The following is a 26,995-nucleotide window of genomic DNA, read 5'->3' as shown; positions in this document are numbered from 1 at the left end:
GTTTTGTTTCTGGCTTGAGTTAGGGCACCTACTTCCAACCTCTCTCCTCCATCACTTTGTCTCATCCTTGGTTCCCACCAGCTCTAAGTTTTAGCTTATAAAATGTCTTATTTTTATTTATTCATTCATCTATTTTGAGACAGGGTCTCACTCTGTCACCCAGGCTGGAGTGTAGTGGCGCAATCTTGGCTCACTGCAACTTCTGCCTCCTGGGCTCAAGCCATCCTCCCATCTCAGCCTCCACTGTAACTGGGATTACAGGTGTGTGCCACTACACCCAGCTAACAGCTTATAAAATTTTATGTTGCTGAAAATCTTAACATCTGTTAAATCTGGGTCGTGGGTACTTAGGGATCTATTATGTTTTTTCTTATGGTTGAAAGAGCTCATTCCAGTTTTAAAGTTAAAACAATATTTCCATAAGCCTGCAAACCCACTAGCCAATTAGTCTTACCTACTCAATAGGTGGCTCGCAGAGATTTGAGGGGCTCTCACAGAAGTGAGGCAGGTGACCTCTAGCACATGGAGTTTTCACAGCATCTATCCTGGCTACATAGAGGCTCTGCTGCAAAGCTCAATATGCTTCAAAATGCTCTCTGGATAAATGAAGGATAAATGCAAAATGTTGCATTTGCATAAGCTGTTTACATGCTTTTTAAAATGTATAAGTAACTGAAATATGGTGGACTTTGGGAGAAAAGGGCAATCTTAACAAACCAAGCCATATTTCCTAAACAAGAATCTATTCTCAACAGTTATAAAAACTGCCTGGAGAGCGGAATTTAAATATTTCTTGCTTCTTTGGCTTGGCACTTACCTAGACACCATTCCTGAGGTTCAATGAGAAGGAAGAAAAAGGTCCCCTAAGCCCACAAGAAGGGGAAATGGTATAAAACAGCTACTTGTGACGGAAACAAGGCTTTGCTGTTAGAGGCTGTAGTTGGCATTCCATTTCTCCCAGAAAATGAGGGGAAATACAAACATTATAGATGAGAAATACACTTTAAATCCTTTAAAAGAAAAGATATTGATGGTGGAACATGCTAGCATGACAAACTTAAAAAGAAAGAAAGGGAGGGAGGAAGAAGTGAATACCTGTGTATAATTATCTTAAGACAATGAAGAGAAAAATACAGTAACTTGAATTTGGGTTTAATTATTAGAAAATGTCGGCTGGGTGTGGTGGCTCACGCCTGTAATCCCAGAACTTTGGGAGGCCAAGACAGGCGGATCTCTTAAGGTCGGGATTTCAAGACCATCCTGGCCAATGTGGTGAAACCCTGTCTCTATAAAAAAATAGAAAAATTAGCCGGGCATGGTGGCTCACACCTGTAGTCCCAGTGAGCCACTGCACTCCAACCTGGGCAACAGAGCTGGAGTTTCTGTCTCAAAAAAAAAAAAAAAAAGAAAGAAAGAAAGAAAAGAAAAGAAAATGTCTCAGCTCCTTGTTGCATAACCAAAACTTGGGAATATGTGAAAATGTATACTCTCTAAAATGTAATCTCTGGTTTGACACCAGCTTTCCATCCATATACCATTACAAAACTATTTATATACACAAGTTTGTCTTAGAGCAGGCAATGCAAATTTAGAATCTGTCAAAGTGTGTGTGGTAGGGGAAGAGTGCTTAGAGGGAGAGAAATGTCCCCAAACATGGAAAACATTTTGACTCTAGTTCTTCTGTGTTTAAATCTTGTGATTCATGAAGGCGGGAACATGTCTATCTTGTTCACTGTCACATCCCAGTATTTAGCATAGAGCTTGGCATATAGTAGGAATTCAGTAAGTATGTTTTTGTTTTTGTTTTCTGAGACAGAGTCTCTCTCTTTGCACCCAGGCTAGAGTGCAGTGGCGGGATCTCGGCTCACTGCAACCTCGGATTCCCGGGTTCAAGCAATTCTCATGCCTCAGCCTCCAGAGTAGCTGGGATTACAGACCAGCACTACCATGCCCGGCTAATTTTTGTATTTTTAGTAGAGATAGAGTATCACCATGTTGGCCAGGCTCGTCTCGAACTCCTGACCTCAAGTGATCTGCCCACCTTGGCCTCCCAAAGTGCTGGGATTACAGGCGTGAGCCACCATGCCCGGCCCAAATAATTCTAAATAAAGCACAGGAATAATTGCTAATAAAGCACAGTAGTTCATTCAGTATTGCCAGCAAATGAGCAAATCCTCTTTTACTTTTTTTAAAATTTATTTTTTTAATTTAGAGACTTGACAATTAAAAATTGCATATATTTGTGCTATACAACATGTTTCCATACACACACACACACACACACACACACACACACACACATCGTGAAATGGTTAAATCAAGCTAATTAACATATCCATCACCTCACATACTTATTTTTTAGTCTTCTTTTTTTTTGAGACAGAGTCTCACTATGTCGCCCAAGCTGGAGTGCAGTGGCATGATCTTGGCTCACTGCAACCTCTGCTTCCTGGGCTCAAGATATTCTCCTGCCTCAGCCTCCCAAATAGCTGGGATTACAGGTGCACACCACCATGCCCGGCTAATTTTTGTATTTTTTTGTAGAGACAGGGTTTTGCCGTGATGTTCAGGCTGGTCTCCAGCTCCTGGGCTCAAGTGATTCTCCTGCCTCAGCCTCCCAAAGTGCTAGAATTACAGGCATAAGCCACCATGCCAGGCCCATAAAATGCACAAATCAAAAAACTCAAGAAAAATTGTACTGCTGATGCAAGTATTAGCTAATAGAAGACCAAATGGCCCTTTCAAATAAGTAAAAAGCATTCTGCACTTGGACCCACTTAACAACTTGAAGTGAATTCAAAAATAAAATAAGAGTAAGTTATTGAGTTTGAAGTACACTGGAATTTTAAAACACTTATGAATTCTACTTAAACATGGTGTGCTCATTACACTTCCCTTCCCTCTTTGAATAAAGTATTATTTCACTCTCCTTGGCAGAATGCTCAGAACAGGATTATCAGTCTCCACAACTCATTTCCCTCTGCACGCAAGAGCTTACCAGATTCTATCCAAAGGACCTTAAGTTTAAATGAAAAAGCAGAGAATCTTCTTTAAATAAACTTCTTGAAAAGATTCCTGCAGTGGCTGTCAAAGAGAATCAGAGCTTTGAAACATGTCTGTGCATTCAAACTGTCTCACAGCACGAATGTCATGAAACTGAAAATCTCTGGAAAGTCAAAATGAAGGAAGTGATTCAGATGATTTGGAAGATATTTTTAGCCCTAGAAACATCTCTGAGTGATTAAAATCCTCGCAAAGGCAGCTACTTGGTACCAAATACATGTAGAAAAAGAAAAAAATTCAATTAATTGACTACACATTTAAAAATATTCAGAAATTGTGTGTTTTCAGAAAGATCAGCTATATTTTCTTGTGCCTCATATCAATATTATGACAGGTTAGAAAGAGTACTGGCTTTGATACTACCTGGTTGTCTGACCCTGGCCAGACATTTGGTCTCTAAAATGAAGGGTAGAACTTAAGGTCCCAGCCAGCTCTAAATATTTAAGGATCAATATAACCTACATTTCTAAACAAAACAACAAAAAACCCCATCATAATTTGAGCTGGGACGGTGCGGTGGTTCACAACTGTAATCCCAGCACTTTGAGAGGGGTGGAAGAATCACTTGGGCCCGGGAGGTCGAGGCTGCAGTGAGTCATGATTTCGCCACTACACTCCAGCCTGGCTGACAGAGCAAGACCCTGTATCAAAACAAACAAGCAAAAAGAAAGAAACCATAACTCGTGTCCAACCAAATTAAATGGGAACAGCTTGCAGACCGAGCTGTATCTTACTTGTTTTACACAGTGTCTGGTACACAGTAAGTACTTAATAAATATGTTAATTAAATGGATAGGATAATATGAAGAAATTGAATGAACAACAACAAAAACTTAGAAAAGTACAGCCAAAGTCTGTATAGTCATTTCAAAGCTTGTTTTGACCTTTTAAGGAAGTCTCTATATAAAGAAAAAAGTTATAACAAAGATTTCTAGTCTTTCTTTTTTTTTTTTTTTTTTGAGACAGGGTCTTGTTCTGTCCCCAGGCTGGAGTGCAGTGGCATGGTCATGGCTCACTGCAGCCTCAACCTCCCAGGCTCAAGTGATCTTCCAGCCTCAGCCTCCTGAGTAGCTGGGACTTACCAACACACACCAGCACGCCTGGCTAATTTTTGTATTTTTTTTTGTAGAGATGGGGTTTCACCATGTTGCCCAGGCTTGTCTCCCTACTTGGCTTCCCAAAGTCCTGGGATTACAGGCATGAGCCACTGTGCCTGGCCCTCTATCTTTCTTAAAAAGGAAGAATGTTCTACCTTTTAAGGGAAAAATTTAAAACCTTGCAAAGTCAAGTCAGAAAACCCTAGCAGGAGTCACCTGTAAACTGGAAGCTATGGACTGGAATTTGGTCCAAAGATGTTGTTTTGTTTGATCAGCCCAATGTTTTGGAGGTTTTGTTTTTGTGGCTGGTTTACTTTTTGTTTGAACCAATTTTTTAAAAACCTGGATTCTCTCGGGAGAATGAGAAGCCCTGGCAACCTTGAACTGGCATCCTCACGTAGCCACGATCCACTGGGGCTAAGTGGAAGCTTCCTGTTTTGCCAGGAGTGAGCACTCTCTAGTTCCCTACAGTTCCCACCTCTCACACAAGTGTACACCTATACTCTGCTGCATGAGGATTTGACCTTTAATTAACTGCCTTAGTAAACAGATAAGTGGTTTGTCACCAGTTATTAGGCAACGCTGGTTATAATAAAAACTGACCCAATTGGTAAACTGTGTCTGGACTGAGAGAAACAATGAAAAATCTGTAAATACCTGATGACGATGCCAATACTTTGGGCTTCCCAGAGTGCAGTGATAACTGTTATAGCCTATATTAATCCCCTAGAGCTACCATAACAAATTACCAGAAATCTAGTAACTTAAAACAACATATTTATTATCTCTCAGTTCTGGAGGCCAGAAATTAAAAATCAAGGTGTTATAATAGCAGGATGGTCCTGAGGGAGAAGCCATGCCATACCCTCTTCGGCCTCTAGGGGAGCCAACAATTCTCCATTTTCCTTGGCTTGTGGCCACATCACTCCAATCTCTGCCTGTCTTCACATAGCCTTCTTCTCTGTGTGTCTTTGTCTCAAATCTCCTTCTCCTTTCTCTTATAAGGGCACCAATCATAGGATTTAGAGCCCAGTCTAAATCCAGGGTGACCTCATCTTGAGATCCATAGTTAACATCTGCAAAGATCCTATTTCCAAGTAAGGTCACATTCATGGATACCTGGGATTAGGATTTAGACATACCTTTTTGGGGGGCACTGTTCAACCCACTACCTATCCCTTGCAGGGATCATAGAAGTAGGTATACAGAGTACTACAAAAGACAGTGGTTCCTATGGGGCAAGGGGACTTTAAGCTCTGATCTCACCAGTGCAGATCTCATCTCCTGGTGCCTGAGCTGTTACCTGAGGAAAGGATAGCTTACTGAGGGCTATGATGACTGCTGCTGCAAGGATGCCCACTGCCACTGCCCAGCCACTGTCCTGCCAGCAAGCTCTGACTTCTGTCCTACATCCTTCTGAGTAGACTGGTGTTCAGTATGGTCTTAATAGTCTCTCATGTCTTTTTTTTTTTTTTTTTTTTTTTTGAGACAGAGTTTCACTCTTGTTGCCCAGGCTGGAGTGCAATGGCATGATCTCAGCTCACCGCAACCTCTGTCTCCTGGGTTCAAGCGATTCTCCTGCCTCAGCCTCCTGGGTAGCTGGGATTACAGGTATGCACCACCCTGCCCGGCTAATTTTGTATTTTTAGTAGAGATGGGGTTTCTCCATGTTGGTCAGGCTGGTCTCGAACTCCCGACCTCAGGTGATCCACCTGCCTTGGCCTCCCAAAGTGCTGGGATTACAGGCATGAGCCACCGCCCCTGGCAGCAGTTTCTCGTGTCTGAATGTTTAGTTGAATCCAGAAAGACACCCTGGTGGGTGCTGTATACTAAATCTACTTCACCTATTTACTTTGTACTCCAATCCTTGTTGGTGTGACCCTCTGGTTTAAAGAACTGGCCAAACTTCCATCAATTTAGTAAATATTCATTGAATGTTTATTATGTGTTGGGTAATGCTATGGATACAGCATTGAAGAAAACAGACAAAATCCCTTCCTTCTGGGAGTTTATATTCTAGTAGGAGAAGACAGACAATAAATTAATAGTCAGTGATCAGAATTTAGATAATACTGTATTTTGAATTCAGAGTCTATAAGATTTTCTAGTGAAATGGCTGAGAAGTATGGAAGAGAAGAATCACAGATGACTGCATAATTTCGTCCTGAACGACTACAAGGATAAAGTTGCCATTTACTGAGATGGTGGAACCTATGGGAGGAGTTGGTTTTGCAGGCATGAGGAAGATCAAGAGCTGAGATTTGGACATGCCTATCTGATATTCAAGTAGAGAGTTTGAGTAGGCAAACAGATATTTGGATTTGGAGTTCAGGGAAGAGTCTGGGCTGAATATACAAATTTGAGAGGGTTCAGTGTATAGATAGTACTTAAAGCGAAGAAGAGACTGGATAAGATTGACCACCAAAGAAGTGAGTGTAGAAAAAAAGAAGTGGTCAGAAGACTGAGGCTTGAGCACTCTAACCTGCCGTCATCAGGAAGATGAGGAAGAACCAGCAAAGGAGACTGAGGATGGGGCAGCCAGGAAAGAGAGAAGAGCCATGAGAATCAGGTGTCCTGGAAGCCACCCAACTTACCAGGTGAAGAAAGAGAAGCCAAGTAAAGAAAGTGTCCCGGCCAGACGTGGTGGCTCACACTTCTAATCCCAGCACTTTGGGAGGCTGAGGCGGGTAGATCACCTGAGGTCGGGAGTTCAAGACCAGCCTGACCAACGTGGAGAAACCCCATCTCTACTAAAAATACAAAATTAGCTGGGCATCGTGGTGCATACCTGTAATCCCAGCTACTCTGGAGGCTGAGGCAGGAGAATCGCTTGAACCCGGGAGGCAGAGTTTGCGGTGAGCTCAAATCACACCATTGCACTCCAGCCTGGGCAACAAGAGCAAAACTCCATCTCAAAAAAAATAAAATAAAATAAAGTGCCCCAAGGAGGAGTGAGGGGTCAATTATGTCAAATGCTGCCTTCCACTCAAACACTATTAGGACTGAGAATTGACCAATGGAATTAGTGACATGGTAGTCATTAGCTACCATATTAAGCACAATTTTGGTGGAGCAGGAGATGAAAACCTAATTGGAACCGGCTCGAGAAAGAACAGGAAGAAAGGAACTAGAAACTGCAGGTATGGACAAAAATTTCAAAAGTTCATAGTAAGGCAAGCAGAGAACTGAGGCAGTAGCTGAGGGATATACAGGGTCAAGAGTGATTTTGTTTTGTTTTGCTTTGTTTTGTTTTCGAAGATGATAGAAATTATAACATGTTGGAAATAAGCCAGTTGGGGGAGAAACTTAATGATGCAGAAAAAGGAGGGAGAACTGGGATGAAGGGAAGAGGAGGTACAGATTGTACTTAAGCAGCAACATTCTCATCAGCTAGAGGCCTCAGAATAAAGATGCGTTTCCAGTGCAATATGATGTCCATTCTTCCTGGAGGTTGACTAAGCCAGTGCTTTTAAACTGGCTGAACAGGAGAATCACTAGGGAAAAGCGAGGGTGTGTTTACTTTAGACACTATTGTTATCGTCACAAGTAAGTGGCTGTAAACTGCATTTTGTTACTAACAATTCAATGATGGTACAGAAATAATCACTCATTCATTCAACAACCACTTACTCGTCTACCATGTGCCAGTTCTCAGTGTTATTCTAGGTACTGGGGATATAGCACTGAGCACCACAGTCATATCTAAAACATTTTTATTGGTTGCATTATTTAAAAATCTATGTGTATTTATTTACAACAAAAAATATGTTGGGGATATTTTTTGTGGTTTTGGTCACAAAATTGCTTTAAATCATCTCTTTACGCTTTGTAAAAACCCTTGTATCGCTAATATTGATAGGATTTATTATCAATGGTGTCCCTGAAGCTTCTTTTAGAGTAGGTATTTGGGACACTTTCTCCGTTATCTTACTTGCTGGATTTTACCCCAAGAGCCTTTTCAAGTCTATTTAAGTAATCTTGGAATTTGGTCACTTTTAGATAAATTAATAGGATATCCCAACTGTTTTTTAAGAACTGCTCTTAATTTCTGTTAGTCTTTTAAATGTTACTTAAAGGTAGTTATATTATCTCACGAAATCAACTTGAGATCATTAGACTATTTAATTTCTCTCCCTTCAGTTTATACAATAAAAGGAGTTCTACACAGGAAAGGAAGGAATATAGAATTGCCAAGACTTCTTTTCGCTAAATGTAGACACCCGAATTTTCTACCTTTCACTAAAGAACACATTCCACCTTGCTGAACCTTTTAAAAGGTCAACAGCCACTTTGACAGCGTTTATTTGTTTCAGTCTTTTCTGTGGCCCTCTTTTCAAGGTTCGTTTCTCTGATTTCCTAGTAGTATACTTATTTCATGGGAAACATTTCTTTCAGAGAAGCACAAAGCCTCTTCTAAACCCTTCCTCATTCATGTTAGAGTCTGTTAGCTAGATTTCCCACTAGTTTAAAATTTTATTTTAGTTTTAGATTTCCCATGATCTGTTATACTTTAATTTAGAATATATACATATTCCAAAATATACTTGGAGTATGGGAGGTGGGGAGAGAGAGGGGGAAAGGAGGGGAGAGAGAGGGGGAAAGGAAGGGAGAGGGACACAGAGGAGAAAATGGGACAAGGAGAGAGAGGGTGAGCGAGAAAGGGAAAGGGGAATAAAGAAGGAGAGGGAGATTTGTTTTGTAACTTCTATGTTAGCTTTGCTTCTTTGGAGTTTATCCCTCTTTTTTTTTCGAGACAGAATCTCACTCTGTTGCCCAGGCTACAGTGCAGTGGCACAATCTTGGCTCACTGCAACCTCCACCTCCCAGGTTCAAGCAATTCTCCTGTCTCAGACTCCTGAGTACCTGGGATTACAGGTGCCTGCCACCACGCCCAGCTAATTTTCGTATTTTTAGTAGAGACAGTGTTTCACCATGTTGGCCAGGCTGGTCTCGAACTCCTGACCTCAGGGGATCCACTCGCCTCAGCCTCCCAAAGTGCTGGGATTATAGGCGTAAGCCACCGTGCCCGGCCAGAGCCTACTTCTTTTTTTTTTTTTTTTTTTTTTTTTAGACGGGAGTTTCGCTCTTGTTGCCCAGGCTGAAGTGCAATGGCAAGATCTCGACTCACCGCAACCTCCGTTTCCCGAGTTCAAGCAATTCTCCTGCCTCAGCCTCCCAAGTAGCTGGACTGTGCCGGCCCAGAGCCTACTTCTTAAAGGTGTTTCAAAGGACTCATACTTGTTCTTAGTTTCAAATATTGTTTACTATTTGTATATTGCATTTCTAAAGCATTTTATACTTAGAGTAATAACTGTACTTTAGCCTTCTCTTCTTCATCTCCAAATATTTGTGTATTACAGAAGAGAAGAACTCCAATACATCGTGTTCTTTGTTAGAGATTTGAAATCTCATAGCCTAAAATTTTCCTCCTTGCAGCAATCACACACGGTAAAAAAGTCTGTTATAACATGGCGAGTCTGTAACATGTGGGTCCCTCGCAGCCTATAAAGTTTATTTATTACTCCCCCTCCTTCCACTGGAGCCTTCCTAATACTTAGGGTGAGGAATGTGGATGGGTTGGCCAAGATATGGAAGAACTGGGGAGAACTATACATGTGCCTACATGTATGAAAACATTTATGCTCATGTCAATTAAATGCATTATGATTAAAGTGATTTGCACATCCAGGATCCAAACAGGAAACAGGATGAGTAATGACGGGACAAACTCTGGACCATTGATACAAATACAGTAATTGAACCTAAAGAAAACAAGATCGGCCGGGTACTGTGGCTCACGTCTGTAATCTCAGCAGTCTGGGGGGCCGAGGTAGGCGGATCACTTGAGGTCAGGAATTCGAGGCCAGCCTGGCCAACATGGTGAAACCCCGTCTCTACTAAAAATACAAAAATTAGCTGGGCGTGGTGGTAGGCATCTGTAATCCCAGCTACTGGGGAGGCTGGGGCAGGAGAATTGCTTGAACCTGGGAGGTGGAGGTTGCAGTGAGCCAAGATTGCGCCACTGCACTCCAGCCTGGGCGACAGAGCAAGACTACGTCTTGAAAGAAAGAAAAAAAGAAACAAGATTTTCGTAAGAGCAGCAGATGAAAATTGCCAAAATTTACACATTTTTGTCCAAGAGTTAAGTATGAACAGATTAAGAGAAGTACAAAGTTTAGAGAAATTTAAAAACCTTTTAGAAAACCGTATATTGGACTCTAACATGAATGAAGAGTTTCAAAACATATTTTAGATGAAGGTTTTCGCTGTCTAAAAAGATTTGGCAGAAAATAAGCATATTGCCATAAAAGCAGAGAATCCAACTTTGACGATAAGGTCACTGAAAAGACTTAAAACAACTTTCATGGGTAAGTTACATAACTTCTCTGCCTCAGTTTACTCTTACATACATGTGATGTGACATAATGCACTTAGTGGACACACAGCATGCAATCACTATTAGCCATTCTGATGTCTTCTCCTCTGTGGCAAGTCAGGCAACGAGCAATAACACTTGTGTTTCCCTTACCCTCAATTATGAGAAGATATTCCAAGACCTCCAGAAAGCTTTTTGGTATTAGAAGCTGCTCTGAAGAGTTGGGTAGAAGAGGAGACTGGCTCTACTCTTTGAGCAAACAAGGTGTAGACAGCTCGGGGCCAAACTTAAGGGCTCCACCACGAAGGAAAGAGTGCTTCTGACAGTTACTTTGGAACTTGAGTATGTTTTTTTCTTATAAGCATAGTGGCAAAATAACTGAGAGTTACGCAACGAAATGCCTTAGGTGCCCAGTGGTGCTCACACCCTGATGCCGATCTCACACCCTGATGCCGATCTCACACCAGGGAAGCCTTTGAATGCTGAGGGTTAGTAACACCTTCCACTACATTCCAGAGTGGGAGAATGCTGGCCACACTTGCCAAAGCTGCAGTACAAGTTTAAAACAACCAACAAAAACAAAAGCCAAAATCACTTTTCTTTAGGAATGAGGTCAGCACTCTTTTGCACACTCGTTTGTGGGGAGTTAAATATTTGGTGAAGAAAAGGCAGCCTGCCCGCAGGCAAAGCTAGAGATTTCGGCCAGTGGGCATATCTTTCCAAACCCTTGCTACTCCTCTCGATTATTTTCTGCGACATAACACCACTCCACCCCTTGCTGCCTTTCTCTAACTACTTTCTGAAGGCCGTGCCTTTGGGGAAGTGGTTACAAATAAATGGTGTTTGCGCCAAAAGCTAGAGGTTCCTCCAGCTACACGGCAAACCGAAGGAAGCAGTCAGGACATTGAGAGGCACTACACAATGACAACAAACATTGCCAGCGACTGCTGAGCCCCTCCCCCGCGCCAGCCTCAGCCCAGAGAATGCAGGCCCGGGGCTGGCTCGCCGCGGGCCAAACACGGACGCAGCTTGCGCCGGGGGCATCCCGAGCAGAGGCATCCCTCGGTGCCAGGCAGCCGCGGGCCCTCTCCGGGCATCTCCCACCCGGAGTGCTGGGCCAGTGCCCAATAGGAAGCCCCGCGGGGGAACTTTCGCCACTCTTCTGCCACATAAACAAGTCGGGCTCAAGACCGTCCAATGACTGGGCAGGGCGGCGAAACACACTTGGAAGTCCTGGCAGCTTCCCGGACTCGACTGAGTTTAACACTCTAGGAGGAGAGGAACCCAGGGCGGATGCTTCACTCGCCCCCCTTGGCCAGCCCCTTTACCCAGGGCCGAGGATGTTACAAATACGGGCAAATTCTCGCTCCGGCAATCTTTTCCCCGCTGCCTTCCCCTCCTCATCTGCAGCCTGGAAGCAAGTTCAGCAAAAGGCTGAGGCGAAAGTGTTTCCGCGCCCCCGATCGCGCAGGCTCGGTCCACAGGGGCGACTTTCCGGGGCGCGTGGGCTGCAGCGGCCCGACTGCGCGGCGCTCCGGCATCGCGCCCGGGCTCAAGTTTCTGGGTCTTGGAGGCCCCTCCAGTGCGTCCTAGCCAGTCGCCGCAAAGAGTTAACCAAGTGGGGCCGGCCCCGCTCCGCCGCCCCCAGCAGCGCGTCTCCACCGCGCACCCCCGGCCCCGCGCTCGCGGCGATCCTCCTGAACCGCAGCTCTGTCCCGCCCCAGAGCCAGCCAGCCTCCCTCCCGCCCAGCCGACTTGGCTTCCCGCGCGCTCCTCACCGCACTCCTCCGGGCCCCGCGATCCTCCAGCACTTCCTCAGCTGGAAGGGGCTTCACGGAGGACCCTCTGCCCCCGCCGTTCTCCCCGCTTTCCTCCCCGCACCCCCCCAGGAGGTGCCAGTACCGATGCCCTGGATGAAGACGAAGCCGGTGACCATGAGCACTGGGTGCCAGTTAAACTCTAGTGCGCTCCCATCCCAGCCAAGCCCCTCTCGGTAGTGGAGGACCCAGACGAGGGCGAAGATCACCGACAGGAAGCCGACGAGCAGTGCCGACCCCAGCAGCGCCAGGAAGCGCCAGTAGCCCTCCATGGCCATCAGCGCCCCATACTCCGCACCGCGGGGGCCACAAGAACTTGGAGAGGCGGCGGCAGCCCTCTGGGTAGTGGCCGGGCGGCGGGACCGGGGCGTCGACTTCTTGGGGCTGTCTCCGCCTGCGGGGAGGGACTTTCTGGGCTGCTGGCCCGGAATGTGGGGCCTCTTGGGGGTGGGGAGCTGGCCCCAACTCAGAAATGGGCCCCACCCCCGGGATCACGCGGCCGCCGAGGGCGCTCATTGCCTGGTGGCCTCACCCTCTCCCTCGTCCAGCATCCAAGCTCGCAGAGGGCTTCAGTAACAGACCTAGTTAGTTGCTCAAAGAGAAAATTCCGAGGATTTTATACTCACCACTTGCTTTTAACACTTCCCGTGTCTCGTCCTTATTTGTGGGGAGGTTGAGTAGGGCAGTGGTGCGCCCTCTTGGTTAAGAGAAGAGAGGGATCCGTTGGGTAGGGTTATGTGTGTGCTTTTAACTACTAACGAAGCCTCCTTAGCCACAGTGCTGGAGAATTGGCTGTCTCTGACATCAAAGGGTGTTAAGGAGGAACCTGTAAGGTGGTGTAAACTAAAAATAAAATCCTAAGCCCCTCACTGACTGAATGGACCTCCTTGGCCAAGCAGACCCCAGAAAAACCTTAAAGCTGAGTTTCTAGCTACAGCCGGAAGGGAAGTCTACCCCCTCCATTTTGGAATTTAGACTCAACAGCTGACTAGCATTAATGTTTAAAATAGAAATCATAAGGCGGACAGAACAGACTCTTTGTAGCAATAAGACATCAAATTATAAAAAGGACCTAAGTCACACACTCCTACACTTAAGAAATAAACTATGGTCTAACTGCCACAAAGGTTTTCTTTTCCTCTAGAGGCTAAACAAGCACTGGCTTGAGATAAGCAATATTAAAACAATTACAACTTAATCAGTTCACAGATGCTGACCAGCTGAACCCCTGTTGCACCAGCCAGAACTACAGCTTTCACTGGGCTGATTTCAGGAACTTTTTCATGATAAGAAGACCGACCATGGACCGGTTCTGGCCAGTGTACAGGGATTGTGCACTTGTATGCATTCACGTCCTGAAAAGACCTTTTGAAGTGTAGGTTTGAAGTAATACATTTAAATGTATTTGAAGTAATACAATTAAATGTTAAGTCTCCACCCCAAAGAGAACATGTTACATGCATGTTTGTTCAATATGCATGTGTAAGGACCACCTCCATTAATATTCATAGCTCCTCCTGTAACCTGTTACGTATGTATGTTTGGCCAAACTGTTCAGCATAAAGCTCCTACCCCAACCCCTCTGCCTTCCAAGTGCCTGTCTCTGGTCTTAGGCCAGAGGCTATGTTTATCAGCCTATGGAATGGCCTCCTTGCAGGCTATAACCTTTTATAAGAAATAAAGTCTCCTCTTTTTTCAAATTTATAATTTTTTGTTTTAAGTTAACAGTAAAGGCCAGGCGCAGTGCCTCACACCTGTAATCTTAGCACTTTGGGAGGCTAAGGCGGGCAGATCACTTGAGTCCAGGAGTTTGAGAACAGCCTGGGCAACAAGGTGAAACCCTGTCTCTACTGAAAATACAAATGCATGCACCTGTAGCCCCAGCTACTTGGGGGACTGAGGAAGGAGGATCACTTGAGCCCAGAAGGTCGAGGCTGCAGTGAGCTGAGGTTGCACCACTGCACTTCAGCTTGGGTGACAAAGTGAGACTCTGTCTCAAAAAAAAACAAAAAACAAAAAACAAAAAAAACCCAGTAAACCGGGTCCCCATGAGGTGTCTCACAGCTGTAATCCCAGGGCTTTGGGAGGTGGAGGCAAGAGAATCACTTGAGCTCAGGAGAGGTATGATCGCACCACTGCACTGCAGCCTGGTGACAGCTAGACTCTGTCTGGAAACAAAACAAAAACAGCATGGGCAGCGGTGGGCTTGGCCTTATCCTGCAATGAAACTACTTGCAGTTTGCTCTTGAGAGAGGGAAGACAGGAACCTCCTGGACCTGGACTTGCCGTTTAGTGTGACAAATGGATTTTCAAAGTGCCCGCCCACCCAAACCAATTTGAACCAAAGCCCCTCCTTGATGAAGTGAAGCTTGCTCCCTGCCCTCTTTCCAACATTATCCTCACCCTTCTCCACTGGACAAAAACAATGTCAGCATTATCTAATGCTATTATAAGAAAAAGGGTTCTGACTGCCAGGGCTTCCAGAATGCATTTGGGAACGTTCACTTCTAGCCCTCTTCTGTAGCTCATCTCCAAGGACTACTTTGCTATATTGTCTTGTTGCCGTCTTGAAAGACCTTAGAATGTGCAGGAAGTATACGGGGATGATTTTCAAAGCAGGCTAAGGAAATAGGAGTGGCAAGCCATGGTAGTAGGGCAGGATTAAGGGCTCAGAGTAAAAGGCTGTAGACCTCACCTGTGTCATTATTTTTCCCTTGGTGGGGAGAGTAAGCAAATGGAAGAGAAGGATACCTTTCCCCAGCACAAGGCTTTCTTTGATCTGGTCCAGCCTAGCACCCCCTGCCAGTCTCTTACCACAACCTGACTGGCCCTGATGTCCTTGGCTGTAAACTGCTCTGGCAGCTTCTGACCACTTCCTACCCACGCCACTGCCTCTAAATTTCCCTGACCCCCATCTCCACTGAGAAACCTTCCCTGAGTCTGCCCCTGCCCAGACTTTTATATCCCACTGACCTCCCCATCCAGTGCCTCCTTGTGTCACCTGTCAGGATGTAATATAAGGATCTGCTTCTCTGGCTGTCTCCACTCTCAGACTGCCCTATTGAAGGCATTGATTCTCTAATTGATCATTTTATTCCTCCTTGGGATGTGGTAGTTACTCAATAAACATGTGTTGGGAGGCTAATGAGACTGAGTGTGTTAATCAGGGTCCTGGCAGAAAACAAACAGCATATTGGAATTGAGTAATTTCATAATGAACAAGACTGTTTATGAAGTTGTGGGCAGTGTAGGAAACCTCAGGGTTAGGCAGTGCCCCAGGTCTGAAGGGCAGAGAATTACTGGAATCCAGAGAGAAAATTGTGCGGAGGGGGAAGTCCGATAGAGGCCTTGAGTACAGGGATGCAGCCAGCCTGCAGAGACCTCATAGGGAGAAAGATGGAAGCAGATAAATATTCCAGCCTTACTCTTCTCCCCTCTGATCTTCTGCCTAGGGTGTCCCAGGGGCTAACCAGAACCTAATCAGAAGCCACAGGGCAGTCCATGTATCCATCCCAGGTCAACTTAGGGCACAGAGCAGAAGAGAGAAGAGTGAGAGCGGATCCCTAGGAATAAAAGGAAACTATCCCTGAATCTTCCGGTTTTATTTTTTCAGACCTTTTTTTGGTTCCTGAGTGCTGCAAACATTGCCTGTTTCATCTTACACTGATTCTTTTCCTTTGCGAACTTTAGCTTGTAATTCTATAATGACATCATTGTATCCCTATCCCTCTCCCTAAAAGTATCTAGTCTTTGTCCTCAATTAATGTTTTCACCCCATTGACCTAACACCTTCACTCCACTCTTGAGTTAATTTTGCTTCATAGCAGCAGCAGATGAGAATCTCTGGGATTCCAGACCCCATTTAACAAAACATTTCGGGAGGATGAAAACATGGCCAAATGGTACCAATGGTGTTGAATCATCTTGAAGTTATATGTAAAACTGAGAGAATTTCAACTTTTAAATTATCTTTTAAGAACCTAACTTTGATATTAAATAAAACTGTCACTGAGAAGGGGAAATTTTTCAATAAACATTGTTGTGGCTTACTGTTAACCTTTTAATTAATTAATTAATTATTTTTCTTTTTGAGACAGGGTCCCACTCTGTCACCCAGATTGGAGTGCAGTGGCATGATCTTGGCTCACTGCAGCCTCCACCTCCTGGACTCACCCTCCTGCCTCAGCCTCCCAAGTAGCTGGGACCACAGGCGTGTGTCACCATGCCTGGCTAATTTTTGTATGTTTGGTAGAAAGGGGGTTTCATCATGTTGCTCAGGCTGGTCTCAAACTCCTGAGCTCAGGAGATCCACCTGCCTTGGCGGCCCAAAGTGCTGGCATTATAGGCATGAGCCACCACCCCTGCCTGTGAACTTTTTTAAAACAGAGTTGTTAAATGATAGAAGTTTCCCTCTGGAGATTGTAAGCAGTTTGTCACCAAAGTACCTAATCAGACTCAATAACCTGTCAGCAATGCTGTTGGGTGATTCCTGATGTAGCAGGTGGGGGAGAGCATTGAAGAAGATGGCCTTCCTAAAAACCTAGAAGCTGGCCGGGCGCAGTGGCTCACGCCTGTAATCCCAGCACTTTGGGAGGCCAAGGCGGGCAGATCTTGAGGTCAGGAGATCGAGACCATCCTGGCTAACACGGTGAAACCCTGTCTCTACTAAAAATACAAAAAATTGGCCAGACGTGGTGGCAGGCACCTGTAGTCCCAGCTACTCGGGAGGCTGAGGCAGGAGAATGGCGTGAACCAGGGAGGCGGAGCTTGCAGTGAGACGAGATCACGCCACTGCACTCCAGCCTGGGCGACAGAGCGAGACTCTGTCTCAAAAAAAAAAAAAAAAAAAAAAAAACAAACAAAAAAAACACCTAGATGCTAGAAACATGCTCATGCAGAATTTTTTGTCCCTCACACAGATGTAGAATGTAGAGTAAGAAGACATGTTGTGAGGGTTGTGGAAAGAAAATCCAAATCCCACCCATCAGGAGATGAGGCACTGGGAGCCCTAGATGCCATCTGTCTTTTGAACTTCCACAAAATAATGTTGCATTTCTTCTGGTGCATACAGAAGTCCAGTATGCTGCTCTTCTGAGGATCCGGCAAGATGGCAGAAGTAGAGCAGAAGAAGAAGCGGACCTTCCGCAAGTTCACCTACCGCGGCGTGGACCTGGACCAGCTGCTGGACATGTCCTACGAGCAGCTGGAGCAGCCGATGCAGCTGTACAGTGCGCGCCAGCGGCGGCGGCTGAACCGGGGCCTGCGGCGGAAGCAGCACTCCCTGCTGAAGCGCCTGCGCAAGGCCAAGAAGGAGGCGCCGCCCATGGAGAAGCAGGAAGTGGTGAAGACGCACCTGCGGGACATGATCATCCTACCCGAGATGGTGGGCAGCATGGTGGGCGTCTACAACGGCAAGACCTTCAACCAGGTGGAGATCAAGCCCGAGATGATCGGCCACTACCTGGGCGAGTTCTCCATCACCTACAAGCCCGTAAAGCACGGCCGGCCCGGCATCGGGGCCACCCACTCCTCCCGCTTCATCCCTCTCAAGTAATGGCTCAGCTAATAAAGGCGCACATGACTCCAAAAAAAAAAAAAAAAAGAAGTCCAGTATGCTAACAGAAAGTCGTAATAAGCTGCACACAGTGGTTTGCTTTGTGGGATAAGCCGAACATTTTTCACTTCTGATTGTTGACTGTGTGTTGGTTCCTCTCTGTTTTCCCCTCCACTCTCCACCCTTTGCCTTGGCTTGTGCTCTGGGAGGCTGACGCCTACAACTGTGTCATCTGACTCTCCTTGTCCTCTGGCTTCCAATTGGGTTTGGCTGATGGCTGGTGCTGACTGGGGATTAGAAGGCAGGAAGCCAGGTCAGCCTATTTATCCCACTGTGACTCCTTGTTGGGACATGGTTTTGCAGTGGCTGCATTCCTCTTTGCCACGGGACTTTCAAGTGTTCCCTTCTCCACAGCTGTGGCTCTCACAGGGGTCCAGTAACACCATCACCACTTGCTTCTACGCGTCTATGAGTGGCATTGGCTTCCTGCTGTGCTTGTCCCTGGTTCTTCACCACTCTTTGCCGAGTTCCCTTAAGGCTGTTGCACCTCTGTTAATAGTCCATTTATTAAACTCACTTCAATTAAATCCTTTGTGCAAACCAGCTATTTCTTGCAAGACCAGATACAAGTGGGGAAATATTCTGACCTGATACTACTGTTCTCCTAGCCTTTTGTTCATGCCTTCTGAAGACATATGATGAATGGAGGAACGGACGCAGTGTGAGAAAATCACAGGCAGGAGGGATGAACTCACATGCTTTCCCTTCCCACTTTCTCTTTTCCTCCCTTCTTCTGGTTAAGAGATTTGGACCAGTGGCTGGGCACAGTGGCTCACGCCTGTAATCCGAGCACTTTGGGAGGCAGAGGTGGGTGGATCACGAGGTCAGGAGCTCGAGACTAGCCTGGCTAACATAGTGAAGCCCCATCTCTCCTAAAAATACAAAAGATTAGCCAGGTGGGTGCCTGTAATTCCAGCTACTTGGGAGGCTGAGGCAGGAGAACCGCTTGAACCCAGGAGGCGGAGGTTGCAGTGAGCCAAGATCGTGCCATTGCACTCCAGCCTGGACAATAAGAGTGAAACTCCGCCTAAAAAAAAAAAAAAGATTTGGACCAGAAAGCTGCCCCAGATGACCAAGACAAAGGAACTCCCTGCCGGCACCATGACTCATGAGGCAAGCCAAGCCCCAGAGTGGTCAGAGGCTTCTTGATGAAATAAAGCAAGGATTACTGCTTTGAAGAGAACATAGCCAAACCCATGTTAAATGGGGGGAATAAACTTTCTTCATGTAAGGCTGGACTGTGTTGTCTAAAACAAACACCTGCATTGCTGAGGGATTTTTCCTCTGAGGGAACTGGAGAGATTAGCTTCTGCTCTCACTGTGGGGATACTGGCTGTGGAAGCAGCCCTCTACCAGTTCTCCAATTCAAGAGGCTCTGGGTCCACCTGCCCCACGTGGGCAGGGCTGGGGCAGTGGAAGGTTTCATTTGTATTGGTCCATAGCCTCTTCCTTTGAGAAGAGGCAGGAAGAAACTCTCTTACTAAGGGAACAGAGTAAGACACTGGACTGACAAGCAGACACAAGGATAAGAGGAAGGTATCTGGGAGAATGGGGAGTGAGCAGAGCATCTTTGAGAGGCATTCCAGCAAAATGTCTAATTCAGTACAGCCTCTTTTGTGCTACGTGGGGAGCATGGGAGAAGAAGAGCATGGGAAGAAGAGTAGGTTAGACCTAGGCATGACTTCTGTTCCCTCCACACTATACTGCTTTGTAAGATCTGCCTGATCCTCCATTTAAATTTTAAATACTTCTGTGAACTCCAAGTATCTGAGACAGGTCCCAGTCAATTTGGAAAGTTTATTTTGCCAAGGTTAAGGACATGTGCCCATGTCATAGCCTCACGAGGTCCTGACGACATGTGCCCAAGGTGGTTGGGGCACAGCTTGGTTTTACACATTTTAGGGAGACATGAGACATTAATTAATATATGTAAGATGTACATTGGTTTGGTCTGGAAAGGCAGGACAACTAAAAATGGGGAGGGGCTTCCAGATTATAGAAATTTGCATTTTTTAAAGTTTCTGATTAGCCTTTTCAAAGGAGGCAATCAGATATGCATTTATCTCAGTGAGCAGAGGGATGACTGGATAGAATAGAGAGGCAGGTTTGCCCTAAGCAGTTCCCAGCTTGACTTTTCCCTTTAGCTGAGTGATTTGGGGGCCCCAAGAGTTACTTTGCTTTCACACTTCCGTCACCATCCAGTGCAAGTTTGGTTTAAGGAAAACTGGTAAGGCAGGAAGCACTCAGGAAAGACATTGGTAAGTCTTCCTAATCATCTCCCTCCCCCTCCTTTTTTTTTTTCTTTTGAGACAGGCTCTCCCACTGTCACCTAGGCTGAAATGCAGTGGCATGATCACAGCTCACTCCAGCCTCAAACTCCTGGGCTCAAGCAATCCTCCCACCTCAGTCTCTAGAGTAACTGGGAGTACAGGTGTGTGCCAGCACACCCAGCTAATTTTTAAAATTTTTTATAGAAACAGAGTTTCCCTATATTGCCCAGGCTGATCTTGAACTCCTGGACTCAAGGGATCCTCCTGCTTCAGCCTCCCAAAGTGCTGGGATTACAGGTGTGAGTCACCACACCTATTCCTAATCATCTTGCATCTTCCTAATCATGTGGCAAGATAAAATTAAAAGGACCCCATCCTGGTCGTTTCTCCCCAGCCTAGGCATTAGTAGGTGGAGTGTGCTCTAGGCAGAGTCTGGTCTTTATCCAGGCAAAAGAGAATTAGGATTAAATCCTTGATTCCCCAATTCTCATCTACTACCTTTATCCCATATGTTAGCAGAAAATAGCCAGATGGGGAAGAAAAGGATGGTGCTTGATCACATCTAGGTTCTATTTATTTTAGAGCCCTCGCTCATGCAAATGTATAAACCCTAGGCTAAAATATAAGCTCCTTCAAGGATCTTCAGCTTTTCAAAGACAGATTTGGTGTGTCTTACTTGCTGCTGTTCTTCCAGCCTATTGTCTAAAAATTTACCTGGAAATTGTTTTGAGCAGATATAGTACAACACACAGACACAAAATGCCATGAAGGAAGGAGGTTTTTTATGTTCACAGTCCCCTAGAAACAGGAGGCAAGGCATGGCAGGCAGGGCCACATAGGGAAGCACCGAAGCCAGATGAGCAGGCAGAAAGGGCAGAAGCCTTTATTGTGGCTTTTGAAAAGAGGAAAGGGGAAAGCAAAGTAAGCAAGCAGAACAACCTTATGATTGGACAGTTTAAATAACTTCAGCAGGGCCTGTAGTGATCTGATAAAAGCAGGTAGGTTGGGGCGTGGAACCCTAATTGGTTGGTCTGCATATCAAAGATGTGCTGGCAGGCAAATTCTTATCTCTAGGAATTAGTTAACTCTGGGAGGAGTGGTTCCCCAGGTCCACAAGGCTCCACATGCCAGAGATCTAAGAATACAGACAAATAGTTAACATAGCCTAGAACAGTTGTCAACAGAGAAGAGGCCGTTAAAAACACATTCAAGCACTGACTGGCTGACAGACTGATGAGAAGTTTAGAGAGCCTAAGACAGAGAATTAGCAAGGAAAGAAATGCCCTGGCACATTTTTCTTATAACCAAATTTTACGACATTGGACTGTTTGGATGGCACATTTTAGTATGTAAGAACTGGGTTATACGATTATTATAGAGTAGCCAGAAACATTGTTTTACCTTTGGAGAACTTTTTTTTTTTTTTTGAGACGGAGTCTTGCTCTGTTGCGCAGGCTGGAGTGCAGTGGCGCAATCTTGGCTCACTGCAACCTCCGCCTCCCGGGTTCAAGTGATTCTCCTGCCTTAGCCTCCTGAGTAGCTGGGACTACAGGCGCATGCCACCACATCCGGCTAATTTTTTTGTATTTTTAGTAGAGACAGGGTTTTACCGTATTAGCCAGGATGGTCTTAATCTCCTGACCTCGTGATCCGCCCACTTCAGCCTCCCAAAGTGCTGGGATTACAGGCCTGAGCCACCACGCCTGGCCCTGGAGAACTTTTATTGGATGCTTTCTTGTTTGGCTTTGTAATAACAGGAATAAATGTTCTAATTATAATCTCTGTCACATGGATTTTTTAAAGGACGTTCACTGGCAGTGTCTCAGAATTTTGGCTCATAGATCTGAGGGCCTTATTGAAGTATGAAGGAATCATGCAAGTCCAAAAAGAACTCTGAATGTAGACCAGAGAGGCCCTCTTAATAGGTCAAGTGTTTGGCTAGATAAATTTTGCCTACAAACTTTATCTTACACTTCAGTGGATCTTAGGAAGGCTTGACTACATTTCTGTTAGCAGATAAAGCTTTTTTTAAAAGAGAAATCAAATGGTATAAGTCAGCATTTTACCTTTGTTGGAAAATAATTTAGCTTGACTTCTGTCATTTGCATGTTGCTAAAGCCAATGCTGAATCCTTGAGATTCTAGTCAACATGAAGCAGTTTGGAATAAGGGAATAGATATTGTTCTAGGCCTTCAATCTGCTACTAGTTTACTTTGTCATCAAACAATTCACAGGGGTCAAAAACTGGGCTGCAGTTTGCTAATCCGTGACAGGACACTTTGGGACTAGATTAGTGTTCTTAACCCGGTATATGTGGACAGAACATGGATGAGGGGAAATTGCATCTTTATTTTCAGTAACTCCTAACTGAAATTTAGCAATCTCTTTATTATGAATGCAGACAACAAACCCCACTAGTATTCATAGGACCTGTGACCTTGTCACCAATATAAATCACTGATAATTTCATGTTGCATCAGAATTTTTGCAGATATCTCAATTTATCAATTATACCCAGCACTTCTTCAAAGTAACCCTAGTTACTTTGTAGGGAGGGAGGAGGGGGAAGTTCTTACTTGATTTACTGTCATAGGCTGGCACACATGCAAAGCTGAATACCTCTCATGGAAAAACACCCATGGGTTCTTTGGGGGCTCCCCTGCTGAGCCCCTCTAGCTGTAATTCCCCTGTCACTGCTGTACAGCCTATTCCTCAGCTACTGTTACCCGCTCAGCTCTGGGTTTTTCATTCAGACTCTTCCTATTGCAACTTCATCATCTGCTTCCTCTTCCCTAAGGCAGGAGCAAAAACACTTGTTCCACAGAAATGACCTATTTACTCTGTCCTGACAAACTCTGGGAGAGACAGGCTGAGCTGAACGCAGCTGCAGACCTTCATCCTCTGAAACCAAAGCAGATCACCAGTTCATCTTTCTTGCCCTTTAGGTTTCCTGAGCAGCAGTTAGACTCAGTCCTTTGTGGCCCCAAACTCAAGGGGATACAGACTAAGTTCTTAAAGCCCCTCTAATTAGTGAAGGGAAGGGGAAGTTACCCTCTGTCCCCCTCTCCTGCTGGGAGGGAGAGTGCAAAGTCACAGCTCTGCCCAAAGAAAACCTCACAAAGTAGTCCATCTCTGCTTTTGCCATCTTTCTATATCTTCCTTTGAGTTTGAGAGCCACATCATATGTTCTAGGCCATCCACTTGGAAATTCCCACTTGGTATTGTGGCATGCATGGTGGCCTTGACCATTTATTATGTTACAGTGCAGTATTAGTTTTCCATTGCTGCTGCAACAGATGACCACATGGCAGCGTAGCTAACACAAATGTATTATCTTACAGTTGTGGAGCACGTAAGTCTGACATGGGTCTCACTGGGCCAAAATCAAGGGTTCACAGGGCTGCTGAGCTCCTCTCTGAAGCTTCTAGGGGAGAATCCATTTATCTGCCTTTCCAGCTTCTACAGGCCACTGACATTCCTTAGCTCATGGCCCCCTCCTCCACTTCAAAGCAAACAATACCTGCATCTCTCTGAGCCTTTCTTCCATCATCACATCTCTTTCTCTGACCCTCTTCTCCTGCCCTCTTCCACTTTTATCCACTCTTAAATGTTCCACCTAGATAATTCAAAATAATCTCTACTTTAAAGTCAGCTGATTATCAACCTTAATAATTCTATCTGTAACTTTAATTCTCCTCTGCTGTGTAAGCTAACACATTCACAAGTTCTGGGATTAGGAAGTGGCCATCTTTGGGATGCTGTTAGTCTGTTTGCCATAGTGACTCAATAACATTTCGTATTTACACAACCAGGTACAATAATAATGTATTGTGAACATACATTCGTGGGCTTAAACATCCTTTTATGTCCTTCATAATATATTATATTTTAATTTTAATTTTAATTTGTTTTTGAGACAGAGTCTCACTCTGTCACCCAGGCTGGAGTGCAGTGGCACAATCTCAGCTCACTGCAACCTCCACCTCCCAGGTTCAAAAGATTCTCGAGCCTCAGCCTGCTAAGTAGCTGGAATTACAGGCGTGTGCCACCACGCCCAGCCAATTTTATATTTTTGGTAAAAACAGGGGTTTCGCCATGTTGGTCAGGCTGGTCTTGAACTCCTGGGCTCAAGTGATCCACCTGCCTTGGCCTCCCAAAGTTGGGGATTATGGGCGTGAGCCACCACACCCAGCCCCCTTTGTAATATATTATGTTCTAATGTGTGGATGTTTCATACATTTTTAACCATTTCTGTATTGTTGGAAGTTAGGTTGTATCCTATTCTTTATTATCACAAGTAATACTGCAATAAAAATCTCTGTAGTTAATTTGTGACACGCGTTACACAGTGACTTTGTATGGTGTCACGTAAACTGGACTTTACATTTCCCAGACCCCGCCTCCCTGCATGCGTCTGAGCTAATGAGAACCATAAAAAAATTGCATGAGATTTGGATGGTGGAATAGTAGCAGCAATCATGCTTAGGCTTGGAAGACTGGTGCAGGGTCAGGCACCATTGCAGCTCACATACATTGTCATGCTGCCTCACCTTGTTAAAGGAGCCAGCAACCAGACCAGTAGCAATTCCAGCTCTATCTCCATGGGTTAATATCTGGGTCCAACAGATCCAGCTTTCAACTTCTCCAGATTTTGGCCCTTGTACATGTGCAGCTCCATGGTGGAATGCATTAGATCATCTCGAAGTCTTCCACATCATTGAAGTTGGTTGTTTGGAAACAATGAGAGGCAGATGCAAATTTTAGTTTCACTTTATCAGTTTTAGCTCAACCTGTGAATCCCCGTTTGTCCTTGCTCACTCCCACTTCACATGCATCTTCCCTTCCTAACTACGGGCCCTGCTGACTTCAGGCTCAGTACCACACAAAGGACCACAGTCATACAAAGACTGCACAACCAGCTCCTACGCTGACTTAATGTGTAAGGTCTGTCCTCTACACAAATCCCTCTGGATCACTCATAGTTGTTCTGCTTCTCTGATCAAATTTTAATTGACATTCATAATTATTTCCTTTGGATAAATTCCTAGACATGCAAAAGCTGAGTAAAGATAGTTAGTTCAATTTTATATTACCTTAAATATTTATTTTTTGTTCATTTTTTGTATTTAGTAAAATCTTTTTTTAAGAAAAATTTCAGTTTATTTCTGTTCTATCAAGAATTAAAAGAAGGTATTTTGCCCACTTGTGTGAGAACTTTAATGGCAGAGTAGTGCACCACTGAGCCACAGTGCCCATGGCAATAGCAAGAATCCAGAGGAGGTGAAATTCAAGGTGACGCCTACTGAATCACTCCTTGATGACACCCCGAGCTGCCAAAACCTTTGAGATTCTGTTTTCTGTTAAAGACAGAAATATTTCCTTTTGGGTCCATCTTCTTAGTCTGGAGTCCTACCTCTGAATCTTTGACTATTAGTAGGCTTTCTCTGTTCCAACTGTATGTATTTCCTATTTGGACAACTATTTATTTATCATTCCTGCATTCCCAGTCTATGCTTGGTCTATTTGTTAGGACATACCATCTATGTAAATAGCATCATCTAGGGTTGTGCAGTGCATGATCTGAACAACCATATGTGGGAGCCTAGATCAGTTTTATGATACCTTAGGTTGCATTTTCCTGTTATTGACTTGGTCTTTCTGTTGTTTATGGCCATAACTTTTGGATACCACGTTCTGACTGCTGGGCTGGACATCCACTCATGGTCATCATTAGCTGGGTCTGTCCCTTCAGGGTCTTCTTCAACCTGGTAGGCCAATTAATTCTGAAATGAGAAACTACAGAAAGCAGCACAACCCAGATCATAGCCATTAACCAAGCCAAGTCCAGGTCCAGCCATGTTCCAAACTATGACAAACCCAGCTTCTAGAAATTCCTCCAAGCCCACCTTCCTGTCTCGTAGGTAATACATTTACATTTGAGATATGTCAAGATGATTACTTAGCTCTAAAGTACTAAAAAGGTGTTAGTAATCTCCTGGCTTTCCTTCTGTAACATCATAAAGGCTTCCTTTACTATTTAATCAAATATAACTTAATCAGTGGCTCAAGCAAAGAAAGTATAAGAATATATTCTGCTAGTAAAATACACATAAGCTATTTGGTCCTTGAAGACATCAAGTAATGTGAGCATTAACTTGCTTTACTCTGAAGATATTCTGCATTAGATACCCTGGTGTTCTAAACTGGAAAACTTGGAAGACATGAACGTCCTTTTTCTTTATTTGCTTCCAAAACCTTACAACTATAATCTTAAAGCAAGAAATGGACTTCAGTTCAATTAGTAATGTACTAAGTTAATGATTATTTATATTCTTATCATTTAGATTTATTTATTTATGAATGCTTAAGAGGCAGGGCTAGTTTTCTATCATAAAAATATCCTGGGAAGGTGCTATTAACTTCGGTGTGCAAAGGAAGAAACATGAAAGAATCTGTTACTGATTTTAACATCATACCTTTAATTCCATGACATCTAATCTGTTGTGAGACTTCAGACTTCCATGCTCATTTAAACTACTTTCAAATAAATGATTCACAAATGTATTGACTAGATTAAAAGTTTGACAGTAATAAATCTTTGTAAAGATTGGTTCTTGATAGGGAAAGAAAAATAAGATATTCTTCCGCATGTAAAGAATAGCATTTGAGACACTTGAAGCTCACGAAGCAATGAACTTGCATTTGATCAATTTTGCTTAGTATTCCACGTGTACTCGGAAGGTTTTACTTTTCCCTTC

General features: G+C 44.5%; 1 protein-coding gene and 1 pseudogene across 3 annotated transcripts in view, besides 4 other annotated features; one reads left to right on the top strand and one right to left on the bottom strand.

The window, feature by feature from the left end:
- The window catches only part of CYBRD1 (cytochrome b reductase 1), a 35,897-nt gene extending 22,953 nt beyond the window's left edge, over positions 1-12,944 (bottom strand). For 2 of the 3 annotated variants that reach the window (NM_024843.4, NM_001127383.2), the window contains exon 1: positions 12,439-12,703. In NM_024843.4, the coding sequence (NP_079119.3) occupies positions 12,439-12,631 (193 nt within the window). In that variant the 5' untranslated portion in view covers positions 12,632-12,703. Of the gene's footprint in view, positions 1-12,438; positions 12,704-12,885 lie in introns of those variants that run through there. The other variant, NM_001256909.2, reaches the window with a different exon arrangement.
- Positions 12,065-12,134: a silencer, noted in NCBI's record as "silent region_12104". NCBI's record gives its function as "represses an Ori minimal core promoter by ATAC-STARR-seq in GM12878 lymphoblastoid cells {active_cell/tissue: GM12878}" and the evidence as "EXISTENCE:reporter gene assay evidence [ECO:0000049][PMID:35858748]".
- Positions 12,285-12,394: a silencer, noted in NCBI's record as "silent region_12103". NCBI's record gives its function as "represses an Ori minimal core promoter by ATAC-STARR-seq in GM12878 lymphoblastoid cells {active_cell/tissue: GM12878}" and the evidence as "EXISTENCE:reporter gene assay evidence [ECO:0000049][PMID:35858748]".
- Positions 12,505-12,614: an enhancer, noted in NCBI's record as "active region_16758". NCBI's record gives its function as "activates an Ori minimal core promoter by ATAC-STARR-seq in GM12878 lymphoblastoid cells {active_cell/tissue: GM12878}" and the evidence as "EXISTENCE:reporter gene assay evidence [ECO:0000049][PMID:35858748]".
- On the top strand, positions 17,440-17,939 carry RPS15P4 (ribosomal protein S15 pseudogene 4; annotated as a pseudogene).
- Positions 21,025-21,498: a transcriptional cis regulatory region, noted in NCBI's record as "candidate enhancer chr2.5458 targeted for multiplex CRISPR interference". NCBI's record gives its function as "positively regulates CYBRD1 gene expression with high confidence in K562 cells {active_cell/tissue: K562}" and the evidence as "EXISTENCE:mutant phenotype evidence [ECO:0000015][PMID:30612741]".

The sequence above is a fragment of the Homo sapiens genome, chromosome 2 (assembly GCF_000001405.40).
Source record: "Homo sapiens chromosome 2, GRCh38.p14 Primary Assembly".
Classification (NCBI taxonomy): domain Eukaryota; kingdom Metazoa; phylum Chordata; class Mammalia; order Primates; family Hominidae; genus Homo; species Homo sapiens.
This window is presented reverse-complemented; position numbering and strand designations above follow the sequence as displayed.